Raw genomic sequence first — 27823 nt, 5'->3', positions numbered from 1 at the left:
GCACACAGTGTTCTGTCAACCTGAAATAATAAAAAAGATCAGAATCCAGTTTAACAGGTTTATTCGAGCGTGAAGCTGAGGACGGCCATTCTCACAGGCTCCAAAGAAATGGGGTCAGTGCTCTGAAGCTGAAAAGTTTAAGGTCTTACTTTATAGTCAGAAAACTAAGAAATTAGGTAGAATCACAACATTTCCCATATAAGTTTGGTTTATGAGGTACAGCAATTTGATTAGTAATAGCTTATTTTCTTTTTTTCAGTTTAAAAGAGTACATTTAACACATCTTGGACAATGTGACAGTCGTGAGGTCTTTGCGTAGGAGAAGGAAGAGGGAAGTTAATCATCTATAATGAAGTTCAACAGAAAAGAGGAAAGGGAACTTCTATGGCACCCTTCAGTCTTTTATAACATTTTACAAAATGATGTAGCTAAGGGGAAAAGGAGTAATCTATAATCAAGGAAACAAAGTTCATAGCTGCCCGTAAGTGACTCAGGTCCCAAAATTACTTTCCTTCAAGGCTCAGAATAATTTAAAGTTTCAACAGCTTTGATTTTGAATTACTTTTTTTTACAGTTCATAGTAACATTATTCACCATAACCAAAAGGTGGAAACCCATATGTTCATGGATGAATGAATGGATAAACAAAATGTGGTATATACATGTAATGTAATATTACTCAGCCTTAAGAGGGAAGGAAATTCTGACACATCCTATAACATGGATAAACACTGAAAACATTATGCTGAGACAAGCCAGAGACAAAACAAATACTGTATGATTTTACTGTTTAATGGGTACAGAGGCTGGGTACTGTGGCTCACACCTGTAATCCCAGCACTTTGGGAGGCCGAGGCAGGTGGATCACTTTAGCCCAGAAGTTCGAGACCAGCCTGGACAACATAAGGAGATCCCATCTCTACCAAAAAAAAATTTTTTTTTTTCTTTTTTGAGACAGAGTCTTGCTCTGTCGCCTAGGCTGGAGTACAATGGGATGATCCTGGCTCACTGCAACCTCTGCCTCCCGGGTGCAAGTGCTTCTCCTGCCTCAGCCTCCCAAATAGCTGGGATTACAGGCGACCCCCACCACACCTGGCTAATTTTTATATTTTTAGCAGAGATGAGGTTTTGCCATTGTTGGCCAGGCTGGTCTCAAACTCCTGACCTCAAGTGATCCGATCGCCTTGGCCTCCCAAGTACTGGGATTACAGGCGTGAGCCACCGTGCTTTGGCCTCTACTAAAAACTTAAAAAAAATTATCTGAGTGTGGTGGTTCATGCCTGTGCTCCCAGCTACTGTGGAGCTTGAGGTGGGAGGATTGCTTGAGCCCAGAAGGTTGAAGCTGCAGTGAGCCTGGACAACAGAGTAAGCACACTTTTTGGGGGCACCTTGTCACACACAGAAAAATGAAACTGTTCTGGAGATGGACAGTGGTGATGGCTGCACAACAATTAACAATGTGAATGTACTTAGTGCCACTGAATTGTACACTTAAAAATGGTTAAGATGGTGAGTTTACATTATGTATATTTTGCCACAATTAAAAAAACCAGGTCTTTAAAGTGATTCAGAGAACAGAATCTGTGAGGCAAAAACAGGCGTTTATGAAAACCCAGGAGGTTTGAAAGAAGCAGGGATGCTAAAATGAAAAATATAGGGATTAAATTGGAACGACAAAACTCTCGACAGCCAGATTAAACAGTAGGCTAAAAATCAGAAGCACCGGGCCTGGAGGACACAGGTGGGGAATCGCCAGGCACACAGGACAGGAAATGGGGTGAGCACTATGAGCAAGAGTTAGGAGACAGAGGGCAAGATAGAAATCCCCAGGCAGGGTCTTATGGGGATCCTCGAAGGTGAGGGGAGATGATGAGGGAGAGGAGACATGGGGAGAGAGGATGAGGCAGAAGCGACACAGGGAGGGAGGATGAGGGAGAGGATGAGGGAGAGGATGAAGAAGAGGCAACACGGGGAGGGAGCATGAGGGAGAGATGACATTGGGAGAGAGGATGAGGGAGAGGTGACATAGGGAGAGAGGATGAGGGAGAGGATGAGGGAGAGGTGACACAGGGAGAGAGGATGAGGGAGAGATGACATAGGGAGAGAGGATGAGGGAGAGGATGAGGGAGAGGTGACATAGGGAGAGAGGATGAGGGAGAGGTGACATAGGGAGAGAGGATGAGGGAGAGGATGAGGGAGAGGTGACACAGGGAGAGAGGATGAGGGAGAGATGACATAGGGAGAGAGGATGAGGGAGAGGATGAGGGAGAGGTGACATAGGGAGAGAGGATGAGGAAGAGGCGACATGGGGAGGGAGGATGAGAGAGAGGAGAGATGGGGAGAGAGGATGAGAGAGAGGATAAGGCAGAGGTGACATGGGGAGGGGAGATGAGGCGGAAGCGACACAGGGAGGGAGGATGAGGGAGACGATGAGGGAGAAGTGACATGGGGAGGGAGGATGAGGGAGAGGAGAGATGGGGAGAGAGGAAGAGGGAGAGGATGAGGGAGAGGATGAGGAAGAGGCGACACGGGCAGGGAGGATGAGAGAGAGGATGAGGGAGAGGCAACATGGGGAGGGAGGATGAGGGAGAGGTAACACGGAGAGGCTGAGGGAGATGTGACATGGGGAGGGATGATGAGGGAGAGGCGACACAGGGAGATGGCTGAGTACTCCCGGAACTGAGGCAAGCTGTGGGCCCCCAGTGGACGAGCTCTGTGTGCTCCCAGTAAGAAGACAGTTGACTGGCTGTGCAAGGACGTGTGGTGGGGAAGTTCCTGGAAGGCAGCTGGGAGATGGGAGTTTTCAGTCCAGCTCCGGCACCCAGTTGCCCCGAGTCCTCTTCCTGTCTCAAGTGAGAGGGCTGATCTGGACTTGGCTGATCTGGGGTTGTTATGAAACTAGCTTTCTCAGGAGACGATGCATTCATTATAAAGAGAAGACACTCTACTAGGACTTTGTACATCATCTCATTTCATCTTCATGGCAACGCTGAGAGGGTTGATAAGAACCGTAAGAAAGAAAATGCAGGCTGGGCGCGGTGGCTCACGCCTGTAATCCCAGCACTCTGGGAGGCCGAGGCAGGCAAATCACGAGGTCAGGAGATTGAGACCATCCTGGCTAACACGGTGAAACCCTGTCTCTACTAAAAATACAAAAAATTAACCGGGCGTGGTGGCTGGCGCCTGTAGTCCCAGCTACTCGGGAGGCTGAGGCAGGAGAATGGCGTGAACCCAGGAGGCCAAGCTTGCGGTGAGCCGAGATCACGCCACTGCACTCCAGCCTGGGTGACAGAGCGAGACTCCATCTCAAAAAAAAAAAAAAAAAAAGAAAAGAAAAGAAAATGCAGACTGCAAAAACAAACTGCCCAAGGTCACACAGGTGATAAGTGCAGAGGTGGGGTTAGCCACTTTTTCACTTATGTTAAAAGCCAGGGTGGGTGGGAAGGGGGTTAGGCAGACAGAGGAAGGTAGAGGGTGGGGAGGGCTGTGGGGATCAGAGAAACTGTCTGGCAGCCACCACCTGTGGCTAGCGTAGGTGAGAGCTGGTCTCCCAAGAGCGGCATTGGCAGGCATGGCACGGGGATGGGCTCAGCCTTCAGGGCCACCAGTAGAAAACACTGGGGTGGCCCCTCTTCCTGCTGTTACCGCCTCCTCTTCCTCTGCTACCTTCCAGGTATCCCCTGCCTCTCCCCACTCACCCAAGGAGGCAGAGGCAGGCATCTAAAGAATGATACTATTGGGCCGGGCGCGGTGGCTCATGCCTGTAATCCTAGCACTTTGAGAGGCTGAGGCGGGCGGATTGCCTGAGCTCAGGAGTTCAAGACCAGCCTGGGCAACATGGTGAAACCCCATCTCTACTAAAATACAAAAGAAATTAGCTGGGCATGGCGGCGTGCGCCTGAAGTAGTAGCCCAACTACTCGGGAGGCTGAGGCAGGAGAATCGCTTGAACTTGGGAGGTGGAGGTTGCAGTGAGCCGAGATCAGGCCACTGCACTCCAGCACTCCAGCCTGGGCGACAGAGCGAGACTCTGTTTGAAAACAAACAGAAAAAAGATACTATTTCAAAAGCCCAGAGGGTAAGGCTGGCCAGGCCAATGCAGTGTGGAGTTTCTCTTCCCCCAGCTGCAGTGCAGTCCTTTGCGTGTTGAAAGCTGGTGACCTCACGCGGCCCAGAAGCTCTGACAGGCAGCATGAACCGCTGTGGTTCATAAAAATAGGAAACGGGGGCCAGGCATGGTGGCTCATGCCTGTAATTCCAGCACTTTGGGAGGCCGAGGTGGGTGGATCACCTGAGGTCAGGAATTCGAGACCAGCCTGGCCAACATGATTAAACCCCATCTCTACTAAAAATACAAAAATTTAGCCAGGCATGGTGGTGGGCGCCTGTAATCCCAGCTACTCGGAAGGCTGAGGCAGGAGAATCGCTTGAAAGCCAGGAGGTGGAGGTTACAGTGAGCCGAGATCACACCACTGCACTCTAGCCTGGGCAACAAGAGCGAGACTCCATCTTAAAAAAAAAAAAAAGGCAAAGGGGGTCATATGATGATGACCTTTGTCTGGTAAACAAAGAGCTTTCAAAACAGGCTGGGAAAAGGGGGGATAATTCAAGAAGTCTTCATTGGTAGATGACTCGGAACCATTTAGAGGACATGTTTATAAATTCCATTGTCCTATGTAATCATAAACTTCCACCCTCTTTCAATCCTAAAATACCTCAGCCCCACATCCTGCCTTACAGAATGGGCCTGTAACAGCCAAGCCTGTGTACAACACACACACAGACACGGACACACAGAGACACGCACGGCACCTGGATTGGGGGGCAAAAGCTGTGGACTAAGGGGGACAGATATTGGGAGATGGACCTAGCTAGGGTGAAGACATCAGCAAAGCCCAGAAGAGACTCAGGGCTGAGGGTTTGACAGAGGGGCCCGGGTGGCTGGGGAGCCCCTGGCCCCAGCAAATGGACCAACTTCTATTGGCCAAGTTCGAAGTCTGGCATTTAAATATCAGAAAAACAGATCTAGTTGTATGAAGTGATAAAAGGATGTATGACTGTAAATATGGTGTGATCCCATTTAAAATACACATGTGCTGAGAAGAAGTCCGGCAAGTTGTACACCAAAACGTCAACAGGGCTTATCTCTTGACGTTGATATAAAGGGCTTTTATTTTCTTTACAGTTTTCTGTATTTTCCAAATTTCTACATAAACATACACATAAAAGTCATAAAAATGTCCCTTAAAATGACACTCCCTCCAATGCAGGGAGTGAGGAGGTGTGTGCTGGGACGCCAGCAGGGTGGCTGCTGGCAGCTAATCCCTGTGCAGGTGCAGCCACTGCTACACTCCAGCGTCTGAGGCCCCTCTGCACTGGCAGTGTTAGAATGGCTGTCTGAGAGCCAAGGCTGTTCACCCGAGCAGAGTCATGGAGCTGGTACAGGCAGGAGCCAAGGTAAGCACTAGGCTGGTGTGTGCCCTCCAGGGGGCACCCTCCTTGAAGCAGGCCCTCCAAGGTACTCGCCCCCTGAGGCAGCCGATAACAGCCGGAAGCCTTCCCCTGGGGGGACCTGGCCATTTGTGGAGCAGGGAAAGGCTCCACTGCCAGTGGAAATGTGAGGCCAGCAGCCCAGGATGTCTGCTTCCCAGAGTCCGCGTGGGTCAGTGCTTGGGCCAGACAGGGGCTGCCTGCGGTGGCAGGACAGTGGCGGGCTGCCTGGGCTGGAGGGAAGACAGGCGCCAGCGCCAGGAGGTGCTGGGGCAGAGCTCTGGGGATCCTCCCCGGCTCCTGAAGGAGGATGGAGGAACAAACCTAGTAACGGGACCCACTTGACTGCCAGGAGGCAGGAAAGCAGCCTGTCCCTGTCCCTGGCTTCCCTGTGAGGGACACAGACTCAGATGGGGAGGGCAGGACCTTTAATTGTATTCACAGAGAGACTTGGAGAGGTGGGGCTCAGTGTCAGGCAGCCGTGTGCTGGGAGAAGGGGCTGGGGCGGCTGGTGGTCTGGAGGACTGGGAGGGGAGGGGGACAGGGACAGGGCAGGAGGAGCAGGGTGGGCTGGGGTGTGGGGTGTGTCCTCAGCTGCCCACCAGTGTTCCCATCCCAGTCTCTGGTGGGAGGCCCTTGGGCAGGGCCGACCCAGCCGGGTCACCTCAGGAGTGTCTCAGCTCCACCTCGGAGCCGAACTGGGGCCCGTGGGAGTGCCGGTGGAGGCTGCGGTGGCGGATGCTGAAGAGCCGCTGGCTGAGGCCCAGGGTGGCTACCAGCAGGGCGATGCCCAGGAAGAGCAGCAGCCACTGGCCCACGCGGGCCTGCTGCGCATCCAGGTCCAGGCCCAGGAAGCTGACGCGGCCGCTGTCTGGGAGGGGCCCTTCTGAGCGAGCTGAGCGGGAAGCAAGGAGACAGCATGGGCAGGGCAGGGCAGGGCAGGGCAAGGGTGCGGGGCAGGGCCAGGCTCCGAGGTCAGCCGCATGGCTGCCCAGCCTGGGGAGGGGGTTAAGACCCAAGGCTGGAGGTGGGGTGGGTGGCGGTACCGGAGTTCGGCGTCCAGTTGTACTGCGGCCAGCCCAGCTTCTCCCCATGCAGCTCGTTCTCCGTGCGGAGCCAGTCCAGCAGCGGCTTGAAGTAGCTCAACATGGCCGAGGCGCTCATGTTGGGCTGGCCCGTGATCAGCTGCATGGCTTCCGGCCACGGCCTACTGAAGCCCAGCTTCATGGCGGTCCTGGGGAGGCATGAGACAGGGAGGCAGAGTCAGAAGGACATGGCCCCTCTTGCCCCCACCTGACATCCACTCTCCATACCCACTCCCAGCTGAAACTTGTCCCAGGGCCCCAGGGCTCCAGGTGCCTAAGGAGATGGCAATCAGGCCTGGCCCACGCTGCAGGTGGGAGTTCCCGGCTCAAAATGGCAAGTGTTCCCACAAAAGCTCCAGTGGACAGACCCCTCAAGGCCCAGGGGCGCAGGCCAGAGCATGGAAACAAAGGAGGGCTGGAGGACACTCACGCCAGGCGCTGCCCGGCCTCCTTGGACTGGTAGATGTCACACTTGTGCAGGGGGCCCGTGTGGCCAGCTGCCTGGCACAGTGCCTCGTGGAACTGGAACTGGATGATGAAGCTGACAAAGTACCTGGAGCAGAGCGAGGCCGTGGCCCGGGGCGGAGTTGGTTGAGGGCCTTGTGCCACTGGGCCCCAGGCCCTTCTGCACATCACATGTGATGTGTGCTAAGTCACATGCGCACAGCAGAGCCAAGGCCCCCCAACTCTGCCCACAGCTATCAGGGTGAGCTCCCCCACCCCAGCTCTTAGCATTGTCTGAGCCTCTTCCTAGCCGTGCCTGTGTAGATGCCTCCCACCCACAGAGCTGCCTCCACAACTCAGGAGGGCCTGCTCCATGGGGTCAGGGCAGAGCCTTCAGAGATCTGGCAGGTGGCTTTGGAGGCAGTGAGGTCTCCATCCCTGGGGTATATGCAAGTAGAGGCAAGGTGTGGCCAAATGGGCCGTGTGGATCTACTAGGGTGGTCTGGGCAGGGAAGCCAGTCCTACATGATCTTATCCAAAGCATCACGAATTCCCTGGTAGAAATCTGCCAGTCAAGGCTGGAGGATTCTCCCCAGCTTAAAGTCTGAAGAGGTTTTAAATGTCCTGAGCCAGTGGCACAGGCCTCTCACTTTGAATGCTGGGTGCAAGCATGTACCACCTAGTTCCCTGGTCTTTCCTAAAAGTGCTTTGTGAAGGCTGCTGGCCAGAATCCGGAATGTTTTTCTAGAGCAGCCAAGTCTCCTTTGCCCACCCCTGTTTGGAGAATTGTCTGCATTAAGCTGGGAAGCTAGCCATCACACCAGCTGGCTCCCGGGTGAGAGCCAGCGCCGGCTGGGAACCCCAGGGACCACTCCAGCAGGCAGGCGGGAGCCCTGTCCTAAGTGTCATCTCTGGAGCACCGTCTAGGTCAGGCCTATCTGAGGTGCTCCAGGGATGCCCTCTTCCTGGACTCTGGGGACAGACTTCATCCATCCCACAATCAGTTATTAGCACTTGATGATGTGCTGGCATCATCCCAGGTGCCAGGAGGCAAGGTGGGCATGGGCCCTGCCCTTGCTGGGCTTCCAGGAACCACGGGAGGCCAGGGCCAGAGGCAGCCACAGCCCTCTGGGGGTGGCCTGGGCTACCTGTAGCCCGGGGGCACCTGGAACTCCAGCCTGAGGTCTCTCTAGCCCCCAGCCTCCCAGGGAGCCTCCCGGATCACAAACAGCCTTGCTAGCCCTCAGCAAGTGCTCTCCCGGGGCACACAGAAGGAGAGGGGCTGCATTGGGCACACTCATCTGTGGCCATGTGACCTGCAGACCTAGTGTGCAGCTACATTCCACTAGAGAGTGATGAATAGTGGGGTCCTGGCCACCCCTCCCTGAGGAGGCTGTGTATGAGACAGAATGCTAAGAAGTTAGCCATCGTGCATCCTGTGAAATGGGGTTCACAGGTCAGGAAATGGAAGCTCACAGAAATTGAGGAATTTTCTCAAGGAAACAAAGTAATGGAGACGGAGTTTGAACCCAGTTCTGTCTGACCCCAGCCTGTGACTGTAACTTGCCCCAGCAACCCTGCCTCCCACCTTAACCGATCTCCAATCCTACATTTTAGTGTCTAGAAGGGCTTCCAGGTACAATTCAAATTGTATCGCAGACAATGTTCAATAATAGTAAAAGAATCACAGTCTTGTTTTAAAAGCAAAACAAAACAGTGCAGAGCTCATGATCCAGCCATGAGTCGTGGTTAATGTTAACTACTTAACCAAGGTCTGGTAACCATTAGCCAATTATTAGGTTGAGTTTCTGTGTTCAACTGTTTGGATGGTACAGACTCTCATCAAAAGAATGTTCAAGAAAAAACCCATCAGCCTTGGCAGTGTGAGTGGGCCCAGGCACCTGCACCGTGCGGCCGGCTCCCCCGGGTCTGCCCTGACTGACAGAGCTTGTGGACCGGGCAGTGGCCGCAGTTGAAACACAAAGCTGTGGGTACTGCCCCTCACAATGTGCCCTCCTGCCTTTCCCGTTACCTGATGTAAGGCACGCTAGAAGGAATGTGGAACTTGGCCCCTGGGTCAAAGTCACCTTGAGTCCTGGGCACTGGGGGGCAGAGGCCCTGGTACTTCAGCCTGTCGAGTGGGAATATATGTTGGAAGATGAGTTTGGGGAGAACCAGGCTGGGGGTGGCATTTTTGACTTGAGGGAGGGTCCCTGCACTTGGGGCTATACTGGGCACCCCATTCTCCTGCGTGCTGGGCCTCTGTGCACAATCACCCCGTTTTCCCCATCACTTACACCACACACATCATATGCACAGACACAATAGTGTACACACACACACACACTCCCCTACCCTGGCCCATCCAGACACCCAGGCACATGCAGACACTCGCAGAGATCCCCCAGCCCGCATCCCGTGGGAGTGTTCCAGAACCTGAGGCTCCACCACTCCTGGTTATAGTTCTCCTTGGTGATGCTTCCATCAAATACCCTCCAGCGCCACTGATCGACGAGGTAGCTGAAGGGGATAAAGGCGATCTTGTCAAGGGCCATCTTCATCAGAAAGTTGATGTCATGCTCTGCAAGGGAAGGGAGCCCAGCTGTCAGACCCAGGGTCCTAGCGGCTTGGCCCTGGTGTGCCTGTGATGGTGGAGGGGTGGGGGTGCTGTACCTTTTGGGCCCTGTGACCTGCCTCCTGGGATGGTCTGGGTGGCTCCCTTCCTTCCGATTGCTCTGCCCCACACCTCTGCCCATGGGCCACTAAGTGCCCCTTTCCCACCTCCCAAGCTCACCACCCTTTCTTGGTCCTCAGCCCACCAGGGCCTCCCGCTTCTCTCTCACCGTCGCTGCCACCCTCACTGCTCAGCAGGTTGAGACTGTGCAGGTGCTTGGGCGTAGACACTGAGAGGGCTAGCACGTCCCCAATGGCCTCATGGAAGCCGGGGTTGGCACCCTCCCTCAAGGCCACAGGTAAGTCTTTGTACTGCATGAAATACTGGATGTGGCCCATTTCGTGGTGGGCCACCACCAGGTCCTCCAAGTTCACGGTGGTGCACTGCTTGATCCTAGGAATAGTGGAGTGGGGGAGAGGGTGTTGGGAGAGGACAGTGAGAAGCCCTGGGCATAAGGGAACAGTGGGCCTTGCTATACCCAGGGCAGACCCCAGCACTGCAGCATGCAGGGGACACAGCACTGTGGGGAGGGAGGGGAAGGGCAACCACTGAGTGTGCGTAAGAGGGAATCTGGGGGCAGAAGCCCCTAGCATCGGGCCGTTCAGGCCATTCCTCTGCCTCCCATTTTCCTGAATGACTCCAGCCCCCACCACCTGTTGCTTTCTGACTGTACAAAGTGCTTGCTCTAGAGGCACTGGGACATTGTGTACTTTCTAGAGAATGTGTGGCCAGTGGGTTCCCATGTACACATGCTTTATCTCCCAAGATGGAGGCTCCCTGAAGGAAACAACTGTTTCTGTCAGGGGTGAGAGTGGGCGATTCTGCATCTCATGCGGCCCAACAGCGACAAACTTATTCACCCCAAGAATTCTTATGGCCAGGATGAATGGCAGCTGCAGAGCTGCCCAAACCAGAAGGTTCTACCGTCTCTCGTCAGTCCTTCCTTGTTCTCATTTACTTATTTATTTTTTATGAAATGGGGTCTCGCTATGTTGCCCAGGATGGTCTCGAACCCCTGAGCTCAAGCAGACCTCCTGCCTCGGCTTCCCAAAGTGCTGAGATTACAGGTGTGAGCCACCGCACCCAGCCCTTCCTTGTTGTTTAGCAAACCAATTCAAACTGCGGGAAATTCTCTCTTGGATCTAACTGGAAGCCTTTTGGCTCAGGTGAATCCTGTTTTTCTGTCATTCTCATCGGGGAGGGGGAAGGAAGAGCTGCCCAGCATCCTGGCCACAAGGCTGGGGATCTATCCAGCTTCTCCTCTGACTCCCCATAAAAGGGAAGACCCCACAAGGGCTCTCATCCCCCAGATCCTGTCTCCTCTCAGCCCTGTGGCTGAGTCCTCATGCCTGGAAGGGCCTGCACAGCCCAGGGAATCCCATCGGGTTTTGTTTCAGGCTCCCCGTGTCTGTTCTCCTTGTAAGAGACACTTCTTCAGCTGTGACAGATGGTCTTTGCCACTTCTCCCAAGTGGGAGGGACTTTTTTCTCTTCTCTTGAATCTGGGTGAACTTGTGACTTGTTCTAGCCAATAAAACATGGCAGAAGTGACTCTGGGCCAGTTTTGGACCTAGCCTTGAGAACTGGCTGCGTCAGTAGTTGCTGTGGGGGATGCTGGCTGCCAGGTAAATCTGCCCACCTCAGATTCCACGCTGGGAGGGCGCCCGAGCTAGCCTGGAGAGATGCCTGACCCACCTCCAGCCGTTCCAGCCATCTCACCCCAAGCACCCAACATGTGAGCCAAGAGGCCACTGGGAACATGTGCCCCAGCATCTGCCACATGGGAAAAACCGAGGACCTCAACCGACAGCCAGAACTGGGGCTCTGGACGTATGGCCCCCATTGAGCCATCCCGGCTGTGAGAGCTGCCCCCAACAGAGGGGGCCCTGTAGAGAAAGGCCATTTCCACTGTGTACTGCCTGAATTCCTGGCACATAAAATCATAAGCAAAATCAACTGGTTGTTTCGTAAGGCTAAGCTCTGGGGTGCTTGGTTGCACAGCAATAGGTAACTAAAACGCCATCCTCCAAGGAAGGCAGCTTCTGAGCCTGTCAGGGGTGAGAGTGGATCTGTACAGAGCACCCAACATCCTCGTGTGCCTCCCTGTGTCACAGCATGTGCCCCCAGGGAGAGGCCAGCTCCATGCAGGGGCTGCTCCCAAGGAGGGACGCGGGGCAGCCTACCATGCTCAAACCCAGGACTGGGACCTTGAGCACTTCCCAGCGGCCAGGCTGACAGAGCTGTTGCGTGCTTCAGAAGTCCCCATCAGGCGGATGGGGTTTTCCTGCCAGAAGCCAACACCTCTCTAGACACTCAGTCCCAAACTCTGGCCCTGTCCCCATCCTGCCCTGCTGGCTCCAGCTGGGGGACAGTAGTGGACCCTTTGCTTGGTTCATTTCCCTTGCCCGTGGGGCTCAGGAACGAGACCTGAGCCCTAGCTGGATGTACCGGAAGTCCTTGCCGTTGTAGAAGTCCCAGGCCGAGGCGTGGCAGACCACCTCCCGCCCGTCGGTTGGCTTCTCCAGCATCGACTTGTTCCAGAACTCAGGAGGCACGGGCAGCAGCCCCAGGGAGGTGAAGAAATCATCAGCCTCCTTAAACATCCTCCTGGGCGTCCAGCCCTGCAAGCAGAGGGAGTTCTGCCCAAACTGGGGGTTCCGGGGACAGACTGCGTGCTGCCGTGGGGATCCCGGGGGAGGGCTAAACTGGAGGGAACTCCTGAATCAGAGGGTCCCTCCCATCCCGGCGGGGCCTCCCTGCCCCTGGGCTGGTGCGGACCTGCTTTAGCATAGCCTCTGTGGTGTCCATCGAGGGGGCTGAAGGGAAGGGCACCACCAAGTCATAGATGTTGGACCAGGTCTGCGCCCACATGTTCCCTGGAGGCGAGTGTGGGGGACGGCAGAGAGAGGAAAGACAAATGTTACTTAGGCTCAATGCCCTCCTGCAGGAAGAGCGCTCCAGATCCCAGTCCTGCTAATCATAGTGGCATTTCTTGAGCACCTACTGTTTGCAAGCTTTGAGGCACACATCATCTTTGGTGTGCATATCCAGCCCAGTAGGTCATTACTGCCTGGCTCTAGGTGGGGGCCTTGCTGGTTATCAGGGAATCCAGGTGGTCTTCACTGTCCGTGAGCAGTGGAGACCAATGTGACTAGCAACTGCTGACATGTGAGGACATTACAGGTCCCCAGAACACCTACACCCCGGTGGCCACCTCTTATTGGCTCTGCACCAAGAACATTGTGTGAATTCACTTTCAATCCTGTCTGCACCCAGGTACTGTCACGATTCCCATTGGCTAGTAAAGGAAACAGGCTGGAGAGTTAAGTGACCGCCCCCCTCGCCGGGGGCCCACGGCTCCTAAGTGGCAGGGCTGGGATTGAAAGGCTGGCAGGCTGCTCTCTTCACCAGCCACTCTGCCATGTCCCCTCCGCACCACCTGAGGTCGGTGTCTGCAGCTCAGCAACTCTGACAGGAACCAGCCGTCTCCTTCAGGAGAGGCTGATGCCTCTGAGTTTAGTGTAAGAAAAGAGCCTAGTTCTCCACGACAGAGGAAAAGGAAGAAACTCAGGATGAATGGAAGGCTCAGAAACAGATTTGGACTCAAGGCTCTTTCCTAGCCAAGTGAGGTGAAGCTTCGGCTGACATCAGATGAAGTCTAAAGTGCAAACCAGTGAGAGAGGGTTAGAGCGATGAGTGATGGAGAGAACATGAGAGAGAAGAGGGAGAGAGCCAGGGAGAGAGCCAGAGAGAGAGACAGAGAGCGCATCAGTGTTAGGTTGCTCCCCTTTCCCCTTTTACCAATTGTCAGGGGCTGAGTTCTAAGGCCAGCTCTGCCCCAGCTCCCAGGCCACGCTGGGCATGTTGCTTTTCTTCCCGGGGCCTGTGTCTCCCAGTTGGTGAACTGACGTCCACTGTGACATCACCAGATGTTCTTTGGTCTCACCAGAGAGGGGCTGAAGAGGGCTGGACTCCCAGCCTGTGTGGGAGCTAGACCCACAGCCAGGCCGTCCTCTGGGGCCTCCCTTATAGTTTCTAAATGGTCTGAGGGCCTGTCTGGTCTCTCTGCTCCAGGAAAGTGTTCCTAACAGCCCATCAGGGACAGAGAACCAGTAGCCTCTGCTTTGCCTTACTCCCTACCATCCCTTACTGTCCTCACCGCCTACTTCACACATTCAGGGCATCTGAGATTGCAGCCCTTGGCAAAGGAGGGTCCAGGGTTGAAGTAGATTTACATTCTCAGGTTCTTCTTTGTTCCAGTTCCCTTGGCCTGAACACTGCGTCTGTCCTCTCATCCCCCACTTCCCATCTGTCAAACCCTGTCATCTTCCGAGGCCCTGCTCACAGGCCACCTCTTGGCAAAGCCTCCCCAGCTCCCACTCACAGCCTCTTCCTCGCCCTCTAAGATCACACAATGTTGTGATGGGTGCCGTGGTCTCCTGGACAAGATTATTAACTTCTTCCCCCATCCATGGTGACTTGCCCGACATAGATCTGCAGTGAATGTGGCACCAGATGCAAGTGGGGGGCTCCCCACTCCCAGCGCCCACCCCCCTCCAGCCTGGGCAACCATCCCCCACAGGGCTGGAGTCTCTCAGTCCCCAGCCTGCTCCCTACCCTCTAGTCAGCCCTGTCCCAACCCTCACTCACACTGTGGTCCGTCTTTACCCTCCTCAAGGCCCGACATGTGCCCTTACCCAGCAGGTGAGCAGGAATGGGCCCCTCCAGGTTGATGTGCTGGGCCCCGTAGTGACGGTGCAGGGCCCGGCGCACGTAGGCATGCAGGTTGAGGTAGAGTGGCTGCAGCTCCTGGAAGAGCCGCTCCAGGTCTTGCTCCAGGGATGGTGTCTCGTACATAGACCTCCACGAGTCCCCTGCATCTACATAGCCTACAGAGGGGACACAGCCAGGCTCTCCCAACACCACATTACCTGCCTCCTCCAGGGATCTACCTTTTCCTAGGCTTGGGGTTTCACAGCACCTCTTTGAGGAAAATGAAGGGACCCAAGTGCCAGTGATGTTGGCAGCAGGGACTCACCATTGAGCCGGGCAGCCTGGTTGATGAGTTCCACGTATTTCGGGTAAAACTGGAGGATGGCTCTCCCCGCCTTGTCTCGCCAGCCCTCCCATGCCCATAACAGGTCTTCATATTTCCGGGACGTGGCCATCACATTCGTCAGATCTGGTAGGGGTTTGAATGCCTTGAGCTCCAGCCCTTAGCTCACCTCTGCTTGTAAGGGGAGCTCAGAGAATTTCAGAGCTGGAATAAAATTGGCGAAACCACATAAAAGTGACTGTATAGGCAGCAGGTCTAGAGAAATGGGAGAAAGGATGGGAGTGGCTCTCCAGCAGTGGCTTACAGAGTCCCCGGCCTGGGGCCACATGCTGCAGACACCTGCAGGGCCTCAGCAGTCCTGTGAGGGGCGTGCTTGAGTCTCTCTCCTCTCCTTTTTTTTTTTTTTTTTTTTTCTGAGACAGGGTCTCACTCTGTTGCCCAGGCTGGAGTGCAGTGGCGCCATCTCGGCTCACTGCAGCCTTGACCTCCCAGGCTCAAGCAATCCTTCCATCTCAGCCTCCCTAGCAGCTAGGACTACAGGCATGCACCACCACATCCAACTAATTTTTTGTATTTTATTTGTAGAGACGGGGTCTTGCTGTATTGCCCAGGCTGGGCTCAAGCGATTCTCATGCCTCAGCCTCCCAAGTAGCTGGGACTACAGGCATCTACCACCACGCCCAGCTAACTTTTGTATTTTTAGTACAGATGGGGTTTCACCATGTTGGCCAGGCTGGTCTCAAACTCCCGGCCTCAAGTGATCTACTCACCTTGGCCTCCCAAAGTGCTGGGATTAGAGGCATGAGCCACCACACCCGGCCAGCCTCCCCTCACACTTGGCATGGGTACCCACATCCACAACTTGTAGGCCAAACCCTGTCCTGGGAAAACCGTTTCTCCTGTTTATTTTCCATTTCCCCTTCTATTTGTCATTGTTCTAATGTGGGAGCTGGGCTGGGGGCCAGAAAGACCCATTTCTGGGTGGAGATTCCTCATGGAAGCAAGTTTATGCCTCAAGTTCTCCAACCCTGGAAAGGGTGGGTTGAGAGGGAGCTGGGAGGTATCTGTGTGCGGGTCCTTGTGTCGGGGGTGAGCTCTTTCAAACGGGCCGGGGTAAGAAGGACCAGCCAGTGGGGAGAAAAGAGGACAGTCAAGAGCTGTCTACTTCTATCCAGTAGGAAGTGGCAGGGTAGGTGAGGGAAGTGAGAGGAATCAGAGGCTCAGGTTCTAGTCTGGCGCTTTCAGGGGCTGTGTGACTCAATTTCCTTATCAGTCACATGCTGGGAGAGGGGCTCAGGAAAGACAGAGAAGGTGAGGAAGTCAAGGGCAGGGTCACGAAAGGAGGCCGGGGGGAGCTAGTGTCCCCGAGTTCCCCCCATTTGGAGTCCAAGCCCATGAAATATAACTTTGAGATCCCGCTGCTCTGAGGGGCGGCATGCAGAGAGGACAGGAGAGAGTGGACACCCTTAAGCAGAGGGCGGTTCTGAGGGAGGGGCAGCTGATCGGGGCATGGTATGAAGTAGGTGCCGGCTCTCAGTGGGGCAGAGAAGCCCCCCTCGTGGAAAACAAGAAAGGGCATTTCCTGGGCACGCTGACCCCAAGAGCGAGGGGAACCCAACTCTGTGCTCTCACCCAGCACCCCCGGGCCCCATGCCAGTCCCAGCCCTCGCCTCTCACTCAGCCTGCACATGAGCTCTCACCTGGCTCGAGCTGCAGGCAGCTGCCATTCGGGTGGCACACAGTGGCCACGCTGTAGGTGGTTTCCATATCCAACAGGATCTTGTTGTACTGCAGGAGGAAGGAGAGGCAATGAGCTGTACTCCTTTGCACTTGGTCTCTCTGGGGCCTGCACTACCCCCAGGCCCCATGGGCTGGCAGGTGGGGAGCCAGGGAGCTGGGGAGCGCTGCCCTCTCAGCAGTTCTGAGGTGCACATCGCATGGCAGATGCCATGACTTGATACAACGAGGAAGAGGAAGCAGCGTGAAGGCCAGGCCAGACCCTGTGTTGGGCTCACTGCCCCAGGATTCCCCTCTCCCTGTACCTTGCGAGCCACACACCTCCTCCAGCTCCTGGGCAGGCAGTGCTGCCCGTTCTAGGTCCTGAACCTTCTTTATGATCCGCTTGATAGTGGTGTTCTGCAACTGGTTCACATCAAACTTCCTGGCCTGGGTGCCGTACTTCAGGGTGTGGTTGGCTATTTGCATGTTCTTCTGCAGCTGAGGGCACAGGGGGATGGTGTCACAGGGCCCAGGAGCTCCAGAGCAGCCTCTGAGCGGGAGGCCCCAAGTGGGAGCTGAGGGCTGGAGGTGGTGGTGAGGGGGCAGTGGAATTAAGTTGCAACCTTTGCCTATAAGACTCTCTGCAAGCTGGACGCTGATAACGTCCTGGATGCAGTACTCACCCTCCCTGGATGCCTGCGGTCAAGCAACACATATCCAGGCAGGGGCAGAGAAGAGAAGACCCCCAAGTGTCGTAAAGGCCCTTAGGAAGGAGCCAGCTTGGTATTAGCTCTGTGGCCTTTCTGAACCTCAGAGTTAATATCAAATCCCATCTGTAAAATGGGAATAAGCTCACCAATTTTGCAAGGCTGTTGAGAAAAAGATGAGGCAACAGATCAAAGTGCCAAGGAACAGTAACAGTGTGTGGCTCAGTGGCATAATTTGTGCTCAGCCAAATAGGCAGGGAATGAGGGTAAAGAGGAAGTGTAGCCCCTTTTGTAGAGGAGACAAACAGAGGCTTTCAATCTTTTAAAAAACGACTTGAGCACCACTTATTTATGTACAAATTATTCTGTTACTAGAGATTGATTTTTGTTTATTTGTTTGTTTGAATAGAGATGGGATCTTGCTATGTTGCCCAGGCTAGTCTCCAACTCCTGGCTTCAAGTGATCCTCCCACCTAGGCCTCCCAGAGACTGATTTTTAAGGAAAGAAGAATTGCTCAGGCATTGAGTAAATGTTCATCAAAATCTGAAATTGAGTTTTTTTTTTTTTTTTTTTTGATGGAGTCTCGCTCTGTCGCCCAGGCTGGAGTGCAGTGGTGCCATCTCGGCTCACTGCAAGCTCTGCCTCCCGGGTTCATGCCATTCTCCTGCCTCAGCCTCCTGAGTACTGGGACTACAGGTGCTCGCCACCACACCCGGCTAATTTTTGTATTTTTACTAGAGATGGGGTTTCACCGTGTTAGCCAGGATGGTCTTGATCTGACCTCGTGATCCGCCCGCCTCCCCCTCCCAAAGTGCTGGGATTACAGGCGTGAGCCACCGCGCCCGGCCCGAAATTGAGTATTGTTTTAAATATTCAATTTAAAATGTGGTGGCAGCCCCACTGTGTGGTGAGCGGGACAGCATCTCTGTGTGTATGCACATGCTCAGGTTTGGGGGTGGGGAGGTGGCTCCCACCAGAATCTTGCTGGTCTCTGTGGTGATGTTGGTGTTGTAGTTCCAGTTGGCCTCGGCATACTCGTTCCACACCACCTGGGATGTCCGGTCATATTCCTCCACAAACTTGCTGGCCTCAGCCTCATCAGTCACCAGGTCTGTGGGACAGAGTGCAGGGAAACAGACAAACCTCTGCCTCCCCTCTCCAGGTTTGTGGTCTCACCAGAAGCCATTATCCCTCTCGCACTCCCTTGTACCCTGCCCTGTCCCTACCCGGCCCCGCCTCTCCCACCCCTGGCACCCTGCCCCTCCCCTGCATGGTCCCACTTGGGCTCTGGGCTGATGTCTGGTGGGCCGTCGCCTGGTGGGTGGTTGTCTGGCTGCTGGTTGTTGCCTGGCTGCTTGTCCCATGGGTGACTGTCACCTGTTGGGATGCCTCCTGGCTGGGGACCAGCAGAGGGTGCCCGTAGCAGAGCAGCAGGAAGAGGAGGCTGGGAAGTCCTGCAGTAGCCCAACCCTGGCCCATGGCCGCAGGAGAGCAGAGTCCTGCAGCTACCGTCCCCTGGCCAATAAGAGCGGAGCCCGCAGTGTGACCTCACAGAGCCTTGTGTCTGGCTTCCTCTGGAAGGGGAGGGGCCCTCAGGTCTGAGCACACCCTCTCTAGGATGCTGGGGGAAAGACATGCCTGTCCCCACTCGCAGGCCCTGCTGATGAGCTTGGGGGGCTGCCTGGCCCTCCAGGACAGGGTACCAGGGCTCAGCTGGTAGGAGCTGACCAGGAACCTGGGGCCTGGGCCAAGCCCAGAGTTGAGGACCCACCTTAGCCCCACACCATCCTCACTCAGGGCTTTACCTATGCCCTCCGGGTAGTTGTCAGGCAACGGCGGGTGCCACTGGTACTCGGGCCAGCCCAGGACCTCGCCGTTCTGCTGGTTCTGCTCCTGCAGCCACTGGGTGACTGGCTGGAAGTACTTGAGCAGCGGCTGGGCATCCAGGGCATCTAAGCCGACCATGTCCTTCAGCACCTCCTGCCAGGGCCTGGAGGAGCCAGCCTGCAGCACCTTCCTGGTGGGCAGAGTGGGTACCATGGGCACAGGGGACTCAGGCTGGAGTCTGCTCCTGGACCCCGGCCCACATGCCCCTGGCCACTTCCGCCCCCCAATGGACTGCAGAAACTGTGGCAATAAGACCCTGGGGCCTGGGATCTCTCTGATGGTGGCAGGGGGCATTTGTGTCGCCCCATGCCAGCCAGAAGGCCCACTCAATAAATATTTGATGACATAGCGAGGAGACAGGCATCCACATCAGTCCAGCTCTGTGGTTGGTGCCCCCCACCCCATCAGAGCAGCCAGACACCTCCTGCCACACCCTTTGCCAGCCGCTCCTCTCTGCCTCCCACTTCCCCCGGCTTCCCACCACACACCGGAGCTTGGCCCCTGCCTTGGTGGACCGGTAGATGTCACACTGGTGCAGTGGGCCCTCATAGCCTGCCTCCTTGCACAGGGCTTCATGGAACTGGAACTGCAGGACAAAACTCACAAAGTACCTGCAGGCACAGGGTGGGAGTCAGGGAAGATCATGGGGGGCCAGGAACAGGGGTTCCTTACCCAGGCACCATCCAGCTTCCTGCAGGGCAGAGGCTGGACCAGAAGCTATCTTGGGGGAGAAGGGAGACCCAAGACAGGCTCAGGAGAGTGGGCCACTCTAACTCCAGGCCTTTGAGGTCTGGAGGAGCATGGGGACAAGCCCTGGGGATGAGGCAGCTAGGATCACAGGAGGAGAAGTGGATTGAGGGTGTGACAGTACTGGGGGTGGGTGGGGTGGGGGCGCTAATACCTGATGTATGGTGTCACATTTGGAACATGAAACTTAGCTCCAGCATCAAAGTGGGTTTCGTTTCGGGTAACAGGAGGACAGATCCCCTGATACTTGGTTCTGGAAAAGGATGGTTAAATTGTCTTAGGGCCTAGAGGTTGCAAACAGATGGATTTAACTTTTGTAGAAAAGGCATTTCCACCCGGCAACCCTTCCCCATCCTGAGGAACTGGGGAAGACTTCCTGGAAGAGGGAGTTTCAGGCAGGAAAGGAGAAGGCGGTGGGTCACAGCGGGGGACATCATTAGAGAGGAGAGGCTAGAACTGGCTGGGGCAGGAGGCGCCTGGCTGTCCAGGAGGCTGGGGAGGGCTAGCTGGGGCGAAGGCTTTTCTATCCCTCCTCTCACCGAAGATACCACCAGTCGAAGTTGTAGCGGGAAGGGGGGGTACGCCCACTAAAGACCCCCCAGCGCCACTGGTCCACCAAGTAGCCAAAGGGCAGGAAGGCAATTTTTTCCAGTGCCATTTTTAGCAAGTAATTGATGTCACTTTCTGTTGGGAGATGAGATGAAAGGAGAGGGAAGAGGTCAGAGGGAGAAGAGGGTCCCCTAAGAGTGTGGGCTGGCGGGGCAGCAGAAAGTGAGGCCAGGGAGATGCAGAGAAGGTATGGCTGGCCCTCGAGACCCTGGGCCCTGCTTGGAAGAGGACCCCCAGGTGTGCTGAGCTGGGCGCAGTGTGCACCGTGAGGCTCTAGGAGGATCCCGAACCCTGCCTGACCTGGGGCCGGGAGGCAGAAAGAAGGGCAGAGCTGAGTGGGGCAAGTGAGGTCCTGCTGTGGGGTGGAGCGGGGTTTAGGTGAGGCTGGGTGGGGGCCTCTCAGCCCTCCCATACCCGTGTCATTGGTGACACGGTCCAGCAGGCCGATTTTGTGCAGATGTTCAGGAGTGGAGACCGAGAGCGCCAGCACGTCCCCAATGGCCTCATGGAAGCCGGGGTTGGCCCCCCGACGCAGGGAGACGGGCAGATCCTTGTACTGCAGGTAGTACTGTATATGGCCCATCTCATGGTGCACTGTGGAGAGCTGGTCCATCGTGACCCGTGTGCACTGCTTGATCCTGGGGCGTAGAGAGGGCGAGGGTGAGAGTGACGGATGGACAGAACAGGGCAGGGCCAGGGCACAGGGCAGATTGGCACCTGAAAGACAGGAATGAGGAGGGAGCTGCCCTGGGGCATGAAGCCGCAGTAGAAACAAGTAACTTCTTTTTTTCTTTTTTTTTTTTGAGACAGCGTCTCACTCTTTTGCACAGGCTGGCCTGTAGTGGCACAATCTCAGCTCACTGCAACCTCCGCCTCCCGGGTTCAAGAGATTCTCCTGCCTCAGCCTCCTGAGTAGCTGGGATTACAGGCGCCCGCCATCACCCCTGGCTAATTTATTTTTGTATTTTTAGTAGAGACGGGGTTTCGCCATGTTGGCCAGGCTGGTCTCGAACTCCTGGCCTCAGGTGATCCACCCGCCTTGACCTCCCAAAGTGCTGGGATTACAGGTGTGACCACCGTGCCTGGCAGAAACAAGCAAATTCTTTACCCTGCCCTGGCTCACCACCACTTGGGCCTTCTTCCTCCATTCCAAGGTATAGAAGTGACTATTTGTCAAAGCTGCCAGAGAAGGTGGACTAATAGGCCTCCTATACCCCCTAGCCCTGGAACAGACCCAGCCTCCAACCAGTGCTGGGGTAGGGTAGAGGCAGGCCTGGGAACCAGCTTCCCTGCGCCTGGGCTGCCTGCCTTTCCCCGGGCCCCAGAACCGGGGAACCCCAGAACGTGCTCTTCCCATGTCTGAACCTGAAGTCTTTCCTGTTGTAGAAGTCCCAAGCCGAGGCGTGGCACACCACTTCCCGCCCGTCGGCCGGCTTCTCCAGCATCGACCCTTCCCAGAACTCGGGAGGCATGGGGGAGAGCTCCAGGGAGGTGAAGAACTCCTCTGCCACCCGGAACATGTGCGTGGCGTTCCAGCCCTGGAGGAGGGGTGTGGAGCCAGGTCAGGGGGAGCCCACTCTGGCTGGCCTGGGGACAGGGCTGGGGTCCCCATCTCGGGTCAACTCCCTGTGCATGAAAGCTTCTCTGCTCTGTGGCCACCATTCCCAGAGGCAGGGCCCTCACTCCCACAGCAGATGAGTGAAAGTGCGTTGTTGCTCTCATCCTGCCACTGTGGAGCCTGGAGGGAGGAGCTGGCACCTCACTGAGGGGGCCGACCCCAGCTCACTGCTCCTACAGACACACCAGGCTGCTGCTCAGTACCCGAAACCTTCCCGCCCCTGTGCCCATCTGTGACTCCCTTTTTTTGCGCCCCACCCCCGACCCCCACCACCCCAGGCTTGAGCCCAGAGCTTACCTGCTGCAGCATAGTACTGGTGACATCGAGGTTGGGCTTGTCTGGGAAAGGCACCACCATGTCGTAGATGTTTTCCCAGCTCTGGGCCCACATGTCTCCTAGATAAGGAAGGAAGGGGACAGCTTGGCTCCCTGCCTGGCTGTGCCTGCTTCTTCATGCATCGCTGAGTGGCACCCTGGGGCCGGCACCTGTACCCTGGGGCCCTCAAGGGCTGCAGGCCTGGCTTAGGGCCAGAAATCTCACACATCAGTCCCACCCACACTCCTCCGAGGGCCACATGTCCTGGGGCTGCAAGATGCTGCCACTGTCATTTCTGGCTGTGCCAGGCCCCAGCCACTCAATCCTGAGGCAGGGCCACAGTGCTTGTTTCCTTGGGCATGAGCTAGGCTGATGGCTCCCCCACTGGACCCAGGGCCAGAGCCTTTGGTTTGGCCCCTAGCTCTCTGACCACTAAGTCCCTCACGACCCTAAGCCTCAGGGTCCCCACCTGTAAAGTGGGAACACGAATGGTCTCCTGCATGTGAAGCAAACAGTATGATGCCCCACACATGTGAGATGTGAGGGTCACAACCCACCTTCCCTTACCCTGGACATCCCCCACCCCTACCTCGGGACCCACACTTCCGTGGGACTCATGTGGAGGCGAGGCCAGGTCCTTACCCAGCAGATGAGCAGGGATGGGTCCCCTGAGGTTGATGTATCTGTCTCCGTATCGGCGATGCAGTGCGCGGCGGACGAAGGCATGGAGGTTCAGGTAGAGGGGCTCTAGCTGTTGGTAGAGGTGTTCCAGATCGTCCTCGAAGGTGGGGGAGTTGTACCAGGAGCGCCAGTAGGCCCCCGTGTCTGTGAAGCCTGGGGGCGTGGGGGTGAGGTATGTAGCTCAGGCCAAAGGCTCGGACCTCAGCCTCTCAGCTGTAAGTCGGCTCTTCCACTGGCTCGAGGCCCGTGGATCTGCAGCTAGCTGGAAAATTGGCTTGGGGGTTGCCACTCTACAATTTCTAATTAGCTACAGCCAGCTAAACAGATCCTGGAGGTTCCCAGAGGCAAAGAGGAGCATCAGGGCCAGGAGTGACAGCAGGATGGCCACGTGGGGCAGGCCAGCAGCAAAGTCCAGGCACACTGGGTGCAGGCCGGTCCCACCTCCACTTTCTGGGAAACTCAGGGCCTGCTGGAATTGTCATACCAGCTGCTCTGCCTGACTCTGGGCTGGGACTCTGGGGAGACAGCTGAGAGAGGACACCTGGCGTGGTTCCTGGACAGGGAGAGGCCTGCTCACCGTCCTGCTTGTAGGCTTCATTGCTGAGGGCAGTGAAATCCTCGTACAGCGGTTTCAGCGGGATGCCCGCAGCGTTGTGCCAGCCCTCCCAGGCAAACAGGAGCATGGCGTAGCTTCGCGAGGAAGCCAGGATGTTGGTGAGATCTGAGACACAGGCAGGCAGGGTCGGTGAGGAGGCCTCCACGTTGAAGTCTTCAACGGCCTTCACCAGAGCCTGCACCAGTCCTTACTGCTCCCACCAGCTTCCTGAACATCACGGTGCCCCCAGAGACAGGGGCCACCTACAGGCCTGGTGGGAGGGGGCTGGGAGCTACAGAAACACCCAGGCAGGGCCCCTGCCCCAGAGACATGACCACCTAAGGTGGCTGACACCAAGGGGACACCCAAAGGCCAAAACCCAGACAGACACTTAGCGGCCTATTGGATGGAGTGCCTTCCTCGAAGCTGCTCATAAAGGGGGCTGGAGCGGGGTTTAAGGGGAAGCCACGAGGGGTCCCTGGCCTGAGGGCTCTTGGGGAACATGAGAGGACCCACGAAAGGGGAAACCAGGCAGCCAGGAGGAAGGCCTAGGGGTGATGGGAGAGGCCGAGGTACACACAGAAGTGGGGGCTGCAGCTGGAGATTCCGGAAGTCCACTTGCCAAGAGAAGCAGGGCGTGGGGGTATCTGCACCGTCCAGCCCCAGTTGGAGGGCAACACCTTTGGGTTTACCTGCTGTCTCCACAGACCCTACACAACTGCATGGTCTGGAGTGCAGCAGGGCAATGTGGGAACACTAGGGCACCGCCGAGAGGGGAGCTGCAAGGGCCGTACCTGGGTCCAGGGACCAGCAGGTGGCAGTCTTGTTGGGGAGGCAGACCTTGGCGGTGGAGTAGATCCTGCTCATGTTGCTTAGCAGGGCGTTGTACTGGGGAGTCAGAGGGGAGGAATGCTCCAGTGACCAGCCCCTGGGACATCTGCCCTCCCCTCGCTGCTAGAAGGAGGAGCCCACAGAGTGGATGTAGCTTGGACAAGGCCACTCAGTGGCACCGGGGCACTTCTGATCACTAAGTGTCACTTAGTGTGACCGGATCACTTCTGAGTCCCCTGCCAGTGGAGGCAGCCTGTGGAGTGGGGGACAGGAGTCCTGAAAGTCAGGGTCAGGGTCAAGTCCCAGCTTGGCACCACCCTGCAGTGAGGGCAGATCCCTCCCATTCTCTGGCTTTGGTGACTTCCCAGTCTTTCTCAACCTTTTCTCTCTCTCTTTTTTTTGGGGGGAGGTCTCACTCTGTCACGCAGGCTGGGGTGCAGTAGTGCAATCACAGCTCACTGTAGCCTTGACCTCCTGGGCTCAGGTGATCCTTCCCCCTCAGTTTCAAGAGTAGCTGGGACTGTAGGTGCACGCACCACCAAGCCCAGCTATTTTTTTTTTGTAGAGACGAGGTTTTGCCATGTTGGCCAGGCTGGTCTTGAACTCCTGGGCTCAAGCGATGCGCCCACCTCAGCCTCCCAAAGTGCTGGGATTACAGGCTTGAGCCACCACGCCCAGCCCTTCTCAACTCTTCCAAAGAAGCTCATAAACCAGCCTAGGGAGAAGTGTATTTGAATTTGGCTTCCTACTCCAGAATGCTTCCTTTAACAGAAAGTAACTCCCCACCCCATCTCCAAGAAAAATCAATGCTCAGAAAGCCATTCTGTGCTTACCTGGGCTTTCCCTTCTGTCAGGGCCCATGTGGATCCCAGGGTTCCTCCCTCCCTGATGGGCTGCTCTCCCCCGACCCCCACGATGGGGCACTAGGAGGCCGCCCCCGAGCTCTGCCTCAGCCCTCAGCCCACCTGCTGCCGCTTAGCCAGGGGCAGGTTGGCAGAGCCCAGGGTGCGCACAGCTCCGATGATCCTGCGCAGCTGCGGGTCCGTGAAGTTCTGCCAGATCGGTTCATACAGCTCCTTGGCCTTCTGGCCCCAGGCCTCCGCAAACTCCTGGCTGAGCAGGGCTGCTTCCTCCTATTGGGCACCAGGAGGGCAGGGAGGGTGTAGGACCCTGCTTAGATGCAGGCCATAAAGGAGAAGCCACGGTGCTGGGGGAGGGGAGGAAGGCCAAGGGCTTCCAGAGCCCGGGCCCTGGGGAGATCCCTGCGGGAGACCTTAGTTTGCGGAAGCCGCGCTTCCTCCTTCTGGAGGGAATCTGCCTCATGGGAATGGTGGAGCAGAAATTGGGACCAGAAAAGAGGCCGGGCGAGTGGAGGGTGGATGGACAGTGCAGTGCGGTGACGGTGACAGCGACAGCGTCCGGAGGTGAGAAGGCAGCTGCCCGAGAGCGCGGGGGCCCCAGAGCCAAGCCCAGCACCTTCGGCGAAGGCGGGCGCGGCCTGGGAGCAGCCACCCTCATCCATCCAACTCGTGCATGCTGGGAGCGCAGGCCGTGCGCGCAGCCCGGCGCTCGGGCCCCGCGGCTGACTGTCGGGGCGAGGGTCCGGGGTCGGGGTGGGGTTCGGGTCGGGGGCGCCAGCCTGCCCGCCCCACAAGCCGGCCGCGTGCTGTGATTGGCCGCCGCGGCCCCGCCCCGCCCCCGCCCGGGCCCGGGCGCCCACCTGGCGCCTTGCATTCTCCGCGGTGATGTTGGTGTCGTGCGCCCAGCTGGCGGCCACGCTCTGGAACAGCACCTGTTCGGCGCTGGAGTTGTAGCTCTGCGCGAAGAGCTGCGCCCCGGCCTCGTCAGCAGAAAAGTTGCCGGGCTGCAGCCCGGGGTCCAACGCCAGGGCGGGCTGCGGCGGCAGCAGCAACAGCAGCGGCAGCGGCAGCAGCAGCCCCGGCCCCCGGCGGCCCGAGGCGGCCCCCATGACGCGGTGCGCGGTGCTCGGCTCTGCCCCTTCTCCTGCGCCGCGGCCGCCCTGCGGGTTATAAAACCCGACACACCCCCGCCCCCGCCCCGCCGCGCTTCCTCCTCCGCTCCAGAGTCCCCAGCGGCGCGGGCCGAGGTTCCTGGCCCGCCCCGGGCAGGGGCGCGGGCCGGGGAGGGGCCGAGGTGCAGCCCGGGGGTGGCGGGATGGGGCTGGGTCGGGCTCCCGCAGAGGAAGCTGGAGAAAGGGCCTCCTCTCTTTAGAAGATGGGGACCCGGCAGTTTGCCGGAACACCCGAGCCTGCCCACCGTGCGGCCGCGCAGCCTCGGCCGGGGCCTGGGAGCCTAGCGGCCTCCGGCTCGATCTTCCCAGCCCGACCCCCCGGAGCCTCCCGCCTCCGGAGTGACAAGGCCGGGGCCCCAGGAGCTGTCCGCAGGCGCCGCTCGTGCGGCGGGGATGGGGCTGATCGGGCCTGGCCGGCTTCTTCACCAGGCCATGGTCGAGGGGCGGGGACGTCGCCTGCCGGGGGTAGGGGTGTGGCGGGGGGGAGAGGAGGGAGGCGGGGACCTTAGGTGTCTTGCAGGCGCCTCCGGGAGGTGCTGGAGGGGCTCAGGGCGGCCGGCACACCTGGGGCTTGGGGCTGCGAGGGAGGGGGAGCCACAGAGCGCAGGAGCTTTGGAGCGCCTGCCCTCTTTCCCCCCGAGGACACAGGCTGCCAGTCGCTCAGCAGAAAACATCACACACGATCCCAACAGAGTCCTAGAACCCGAGGCTAGCAGGCTTTGAGAGCGACACAAAGCCTCAGAGATGAGAACAACCCCCTCATTTTACAGATGAAGAAATTGCCGCTCAGGTTGAGAGGCTTGCTCCAAGTCACCTCAGGTCTCCACACTCCCCTGTGTTTTCCTGTCTCATCCACGTGTCCCTCAAAGTGACAAGTGTGGGGGAGGGAGGACAGTCTTGTCCTATTGGCGCACAGGGCGGTTGTGGAGGCCACCTCGGCACCATGGCGTCTGCTGCCAGAGGGGGGAAGCCCCTTGACCCTGGCAGAGGCCCGGCGGCGCAGTGGGAGGTGGGGCAATGGAGGAACCGTGGGGTGAGGCTGGGCGGTGGGATCAGGGAAGGAGCCAGGGACAGCTGCTCCCAAGACCCCAACCCATTAGGCTGCTGGGGGCTGTTGGGAATCACTTGGGCTTCTGGGTGAGTGGGGGATGGTGTCTGGGGCTCTGAGGGACACGTGCACCTTGCTGTGCAGCATGGAGTGTGTGCAGGAGGCTGTGACCCCGCGTTCCTGTGAGATGCACCTCCAGTGAGATCGCACTGACTTGTCAGATGACGTGTTGCAGGGGAGAGGGGGCGGTGGGGAGAGGAAGAAGGTGGCTGTCCCTAGCACTAGA

General features: G+C 57.1%; 1 protein-coding gene across 8 annotated transcripts, besides 3 other annotated features; it reads right to left on the bottom strand.

Annotated features, from left to right (window-relative positions):
• Window positions 5148-26460, bottom strand: ACE (angiotensin I converting enzyme). Of its 8 annotated transcripts, NM_000789.4 has the most exons (25): window positions 26178-26460; window positions 25423-25590; window positions 24421-24514; window positions 23609-23752; window positions 22993-23184; window positions 22333-22430; window positions 21783-21955; window positions 20832-21055; window positions 20348-20492; window positions 19963-20061; window positions 19550-19672; window positions 18980-19191; window positions 18149-18285; window positions 16806-16964; window positions 16448-16535; window positions 14730-14873; window positions 14389-14580; window positions 12470-12567; window positions 12140-12312; window positions 9862-10085; window positions 9455-9599; window positions 9051-9149; window positions 7005-7127; window positions 6536-6723; window positions 5148-6384 (listed from the first exon to the last, which is right to left on the bottom strand). In NM_000789.4, the coding sequence occupies exons 1-25, from the start codon at window positions 26424-26426 to the stop codon at window positions 6155-6157; spliced, it is 3921 nt and encodes a 1306-aa protein (NP_000780.1). In that variant the 5' UTR covers window positions 26427-26460; the 3' UTR covers window positions 5148-6154. The 8 variants fall into 8 exon arrangements, 7 of the variants coding, with proteins under 7 accessions (NP_000780.1, NP_001369630.1, NP_001369629.1 ...); NM_001382701.1 differs by lacking the exons at window positions 23609-23752; window positions 24421-24514; NM_001382700.1 differs by lacking the exons at window positions 21783-21955; window positions 23609-23752; window positions 24421-24514 and having other exon boundaries at window positions 20832-21134.
• Window positions 16528-17028: an enhancer, noted in NCBI's record as "H3K4me1 hESC enhancer chr17:61563854-61564354 (GRCh37/hg19 assembly coordinates)". NCBI's record gives its function as "activates a minimal SCP1, AML or CMV promoter by ChIP-STARR-seq in naive H9 embryonic stem cells {active_cell/tissue: H9 hESC(naive)}" and the evidence as "EXISTENCE:reporter gene assay evidence [ECO:0000049][PMID:30033119]".
• Window positions 25951-26010: a silencer, noted in NCBI's record as "silent region_8818". NCBI's record gives its function as "represses an Ori minimal core promoter by ATAC-STARR-seq in GM12878 lymphoblastoid cells {active_cell/tissue: GM12878}" and the evidence as "EXISTENCE:reporter gene assay evidence [ECO:0000049][PMID:35858748]".
• Window positions 26111-26200: a silencer, noted in NCBI's record as "silent region_8817". NCBI's record gives its function as "represses an Ori minimal core promoter by ATAC-STARR-seq in GM12878 lymphoblastoid cells {active_cell/tissue: GM12878}" and the evidence as "EXISTENCE:reporter gene assay evidence [ECO:0000049][PMID:35858748]".

This window comes from Homo sapiens, chromosome 17, assembly GCF_000001405.40.
Source record: "Homo sapiens chromosome 17, GRCh38.p14 Primary Assembly".
NCBI lineage: Eukaryota > Metazoa > Chordata > Mammalia > Primates > Hominidae > Homo > Homo sapiens.
Note: the sequence above shows the minus strand (reverse complement) of the source record. Positions and strands in the feature narration are given on the sequence as shown.

What these genes read in the sequence shown, in the direction of transcription:
- ACE (NM_000789.4), bottom strand. Translation starts at nt 26,426, where the DNA reads ATGGGGGCCGCCTCGGGCCGCCGGGGGCCGGGGCTGCTGCTGCCGCTG. An exon ending in AAGGCAGGGGCCAAGCTCCG is followed by an intron (nt 19,192 to 19,549) that starts GTGTGTGGTGGG and finishes TCTGCCCACCAG; the next exon opens with GAAGGTGCTGCAGGCTGGCT. An exon ending in CAGGAGTGGTGGAGCCTCAG is followed by an intron (nt 9,150 to 9,454) that starts GTTCTGGAACAC and finishes CCCACTCGACAG; the next exon opens with GCTGAAGTACCAGGGCCTCT.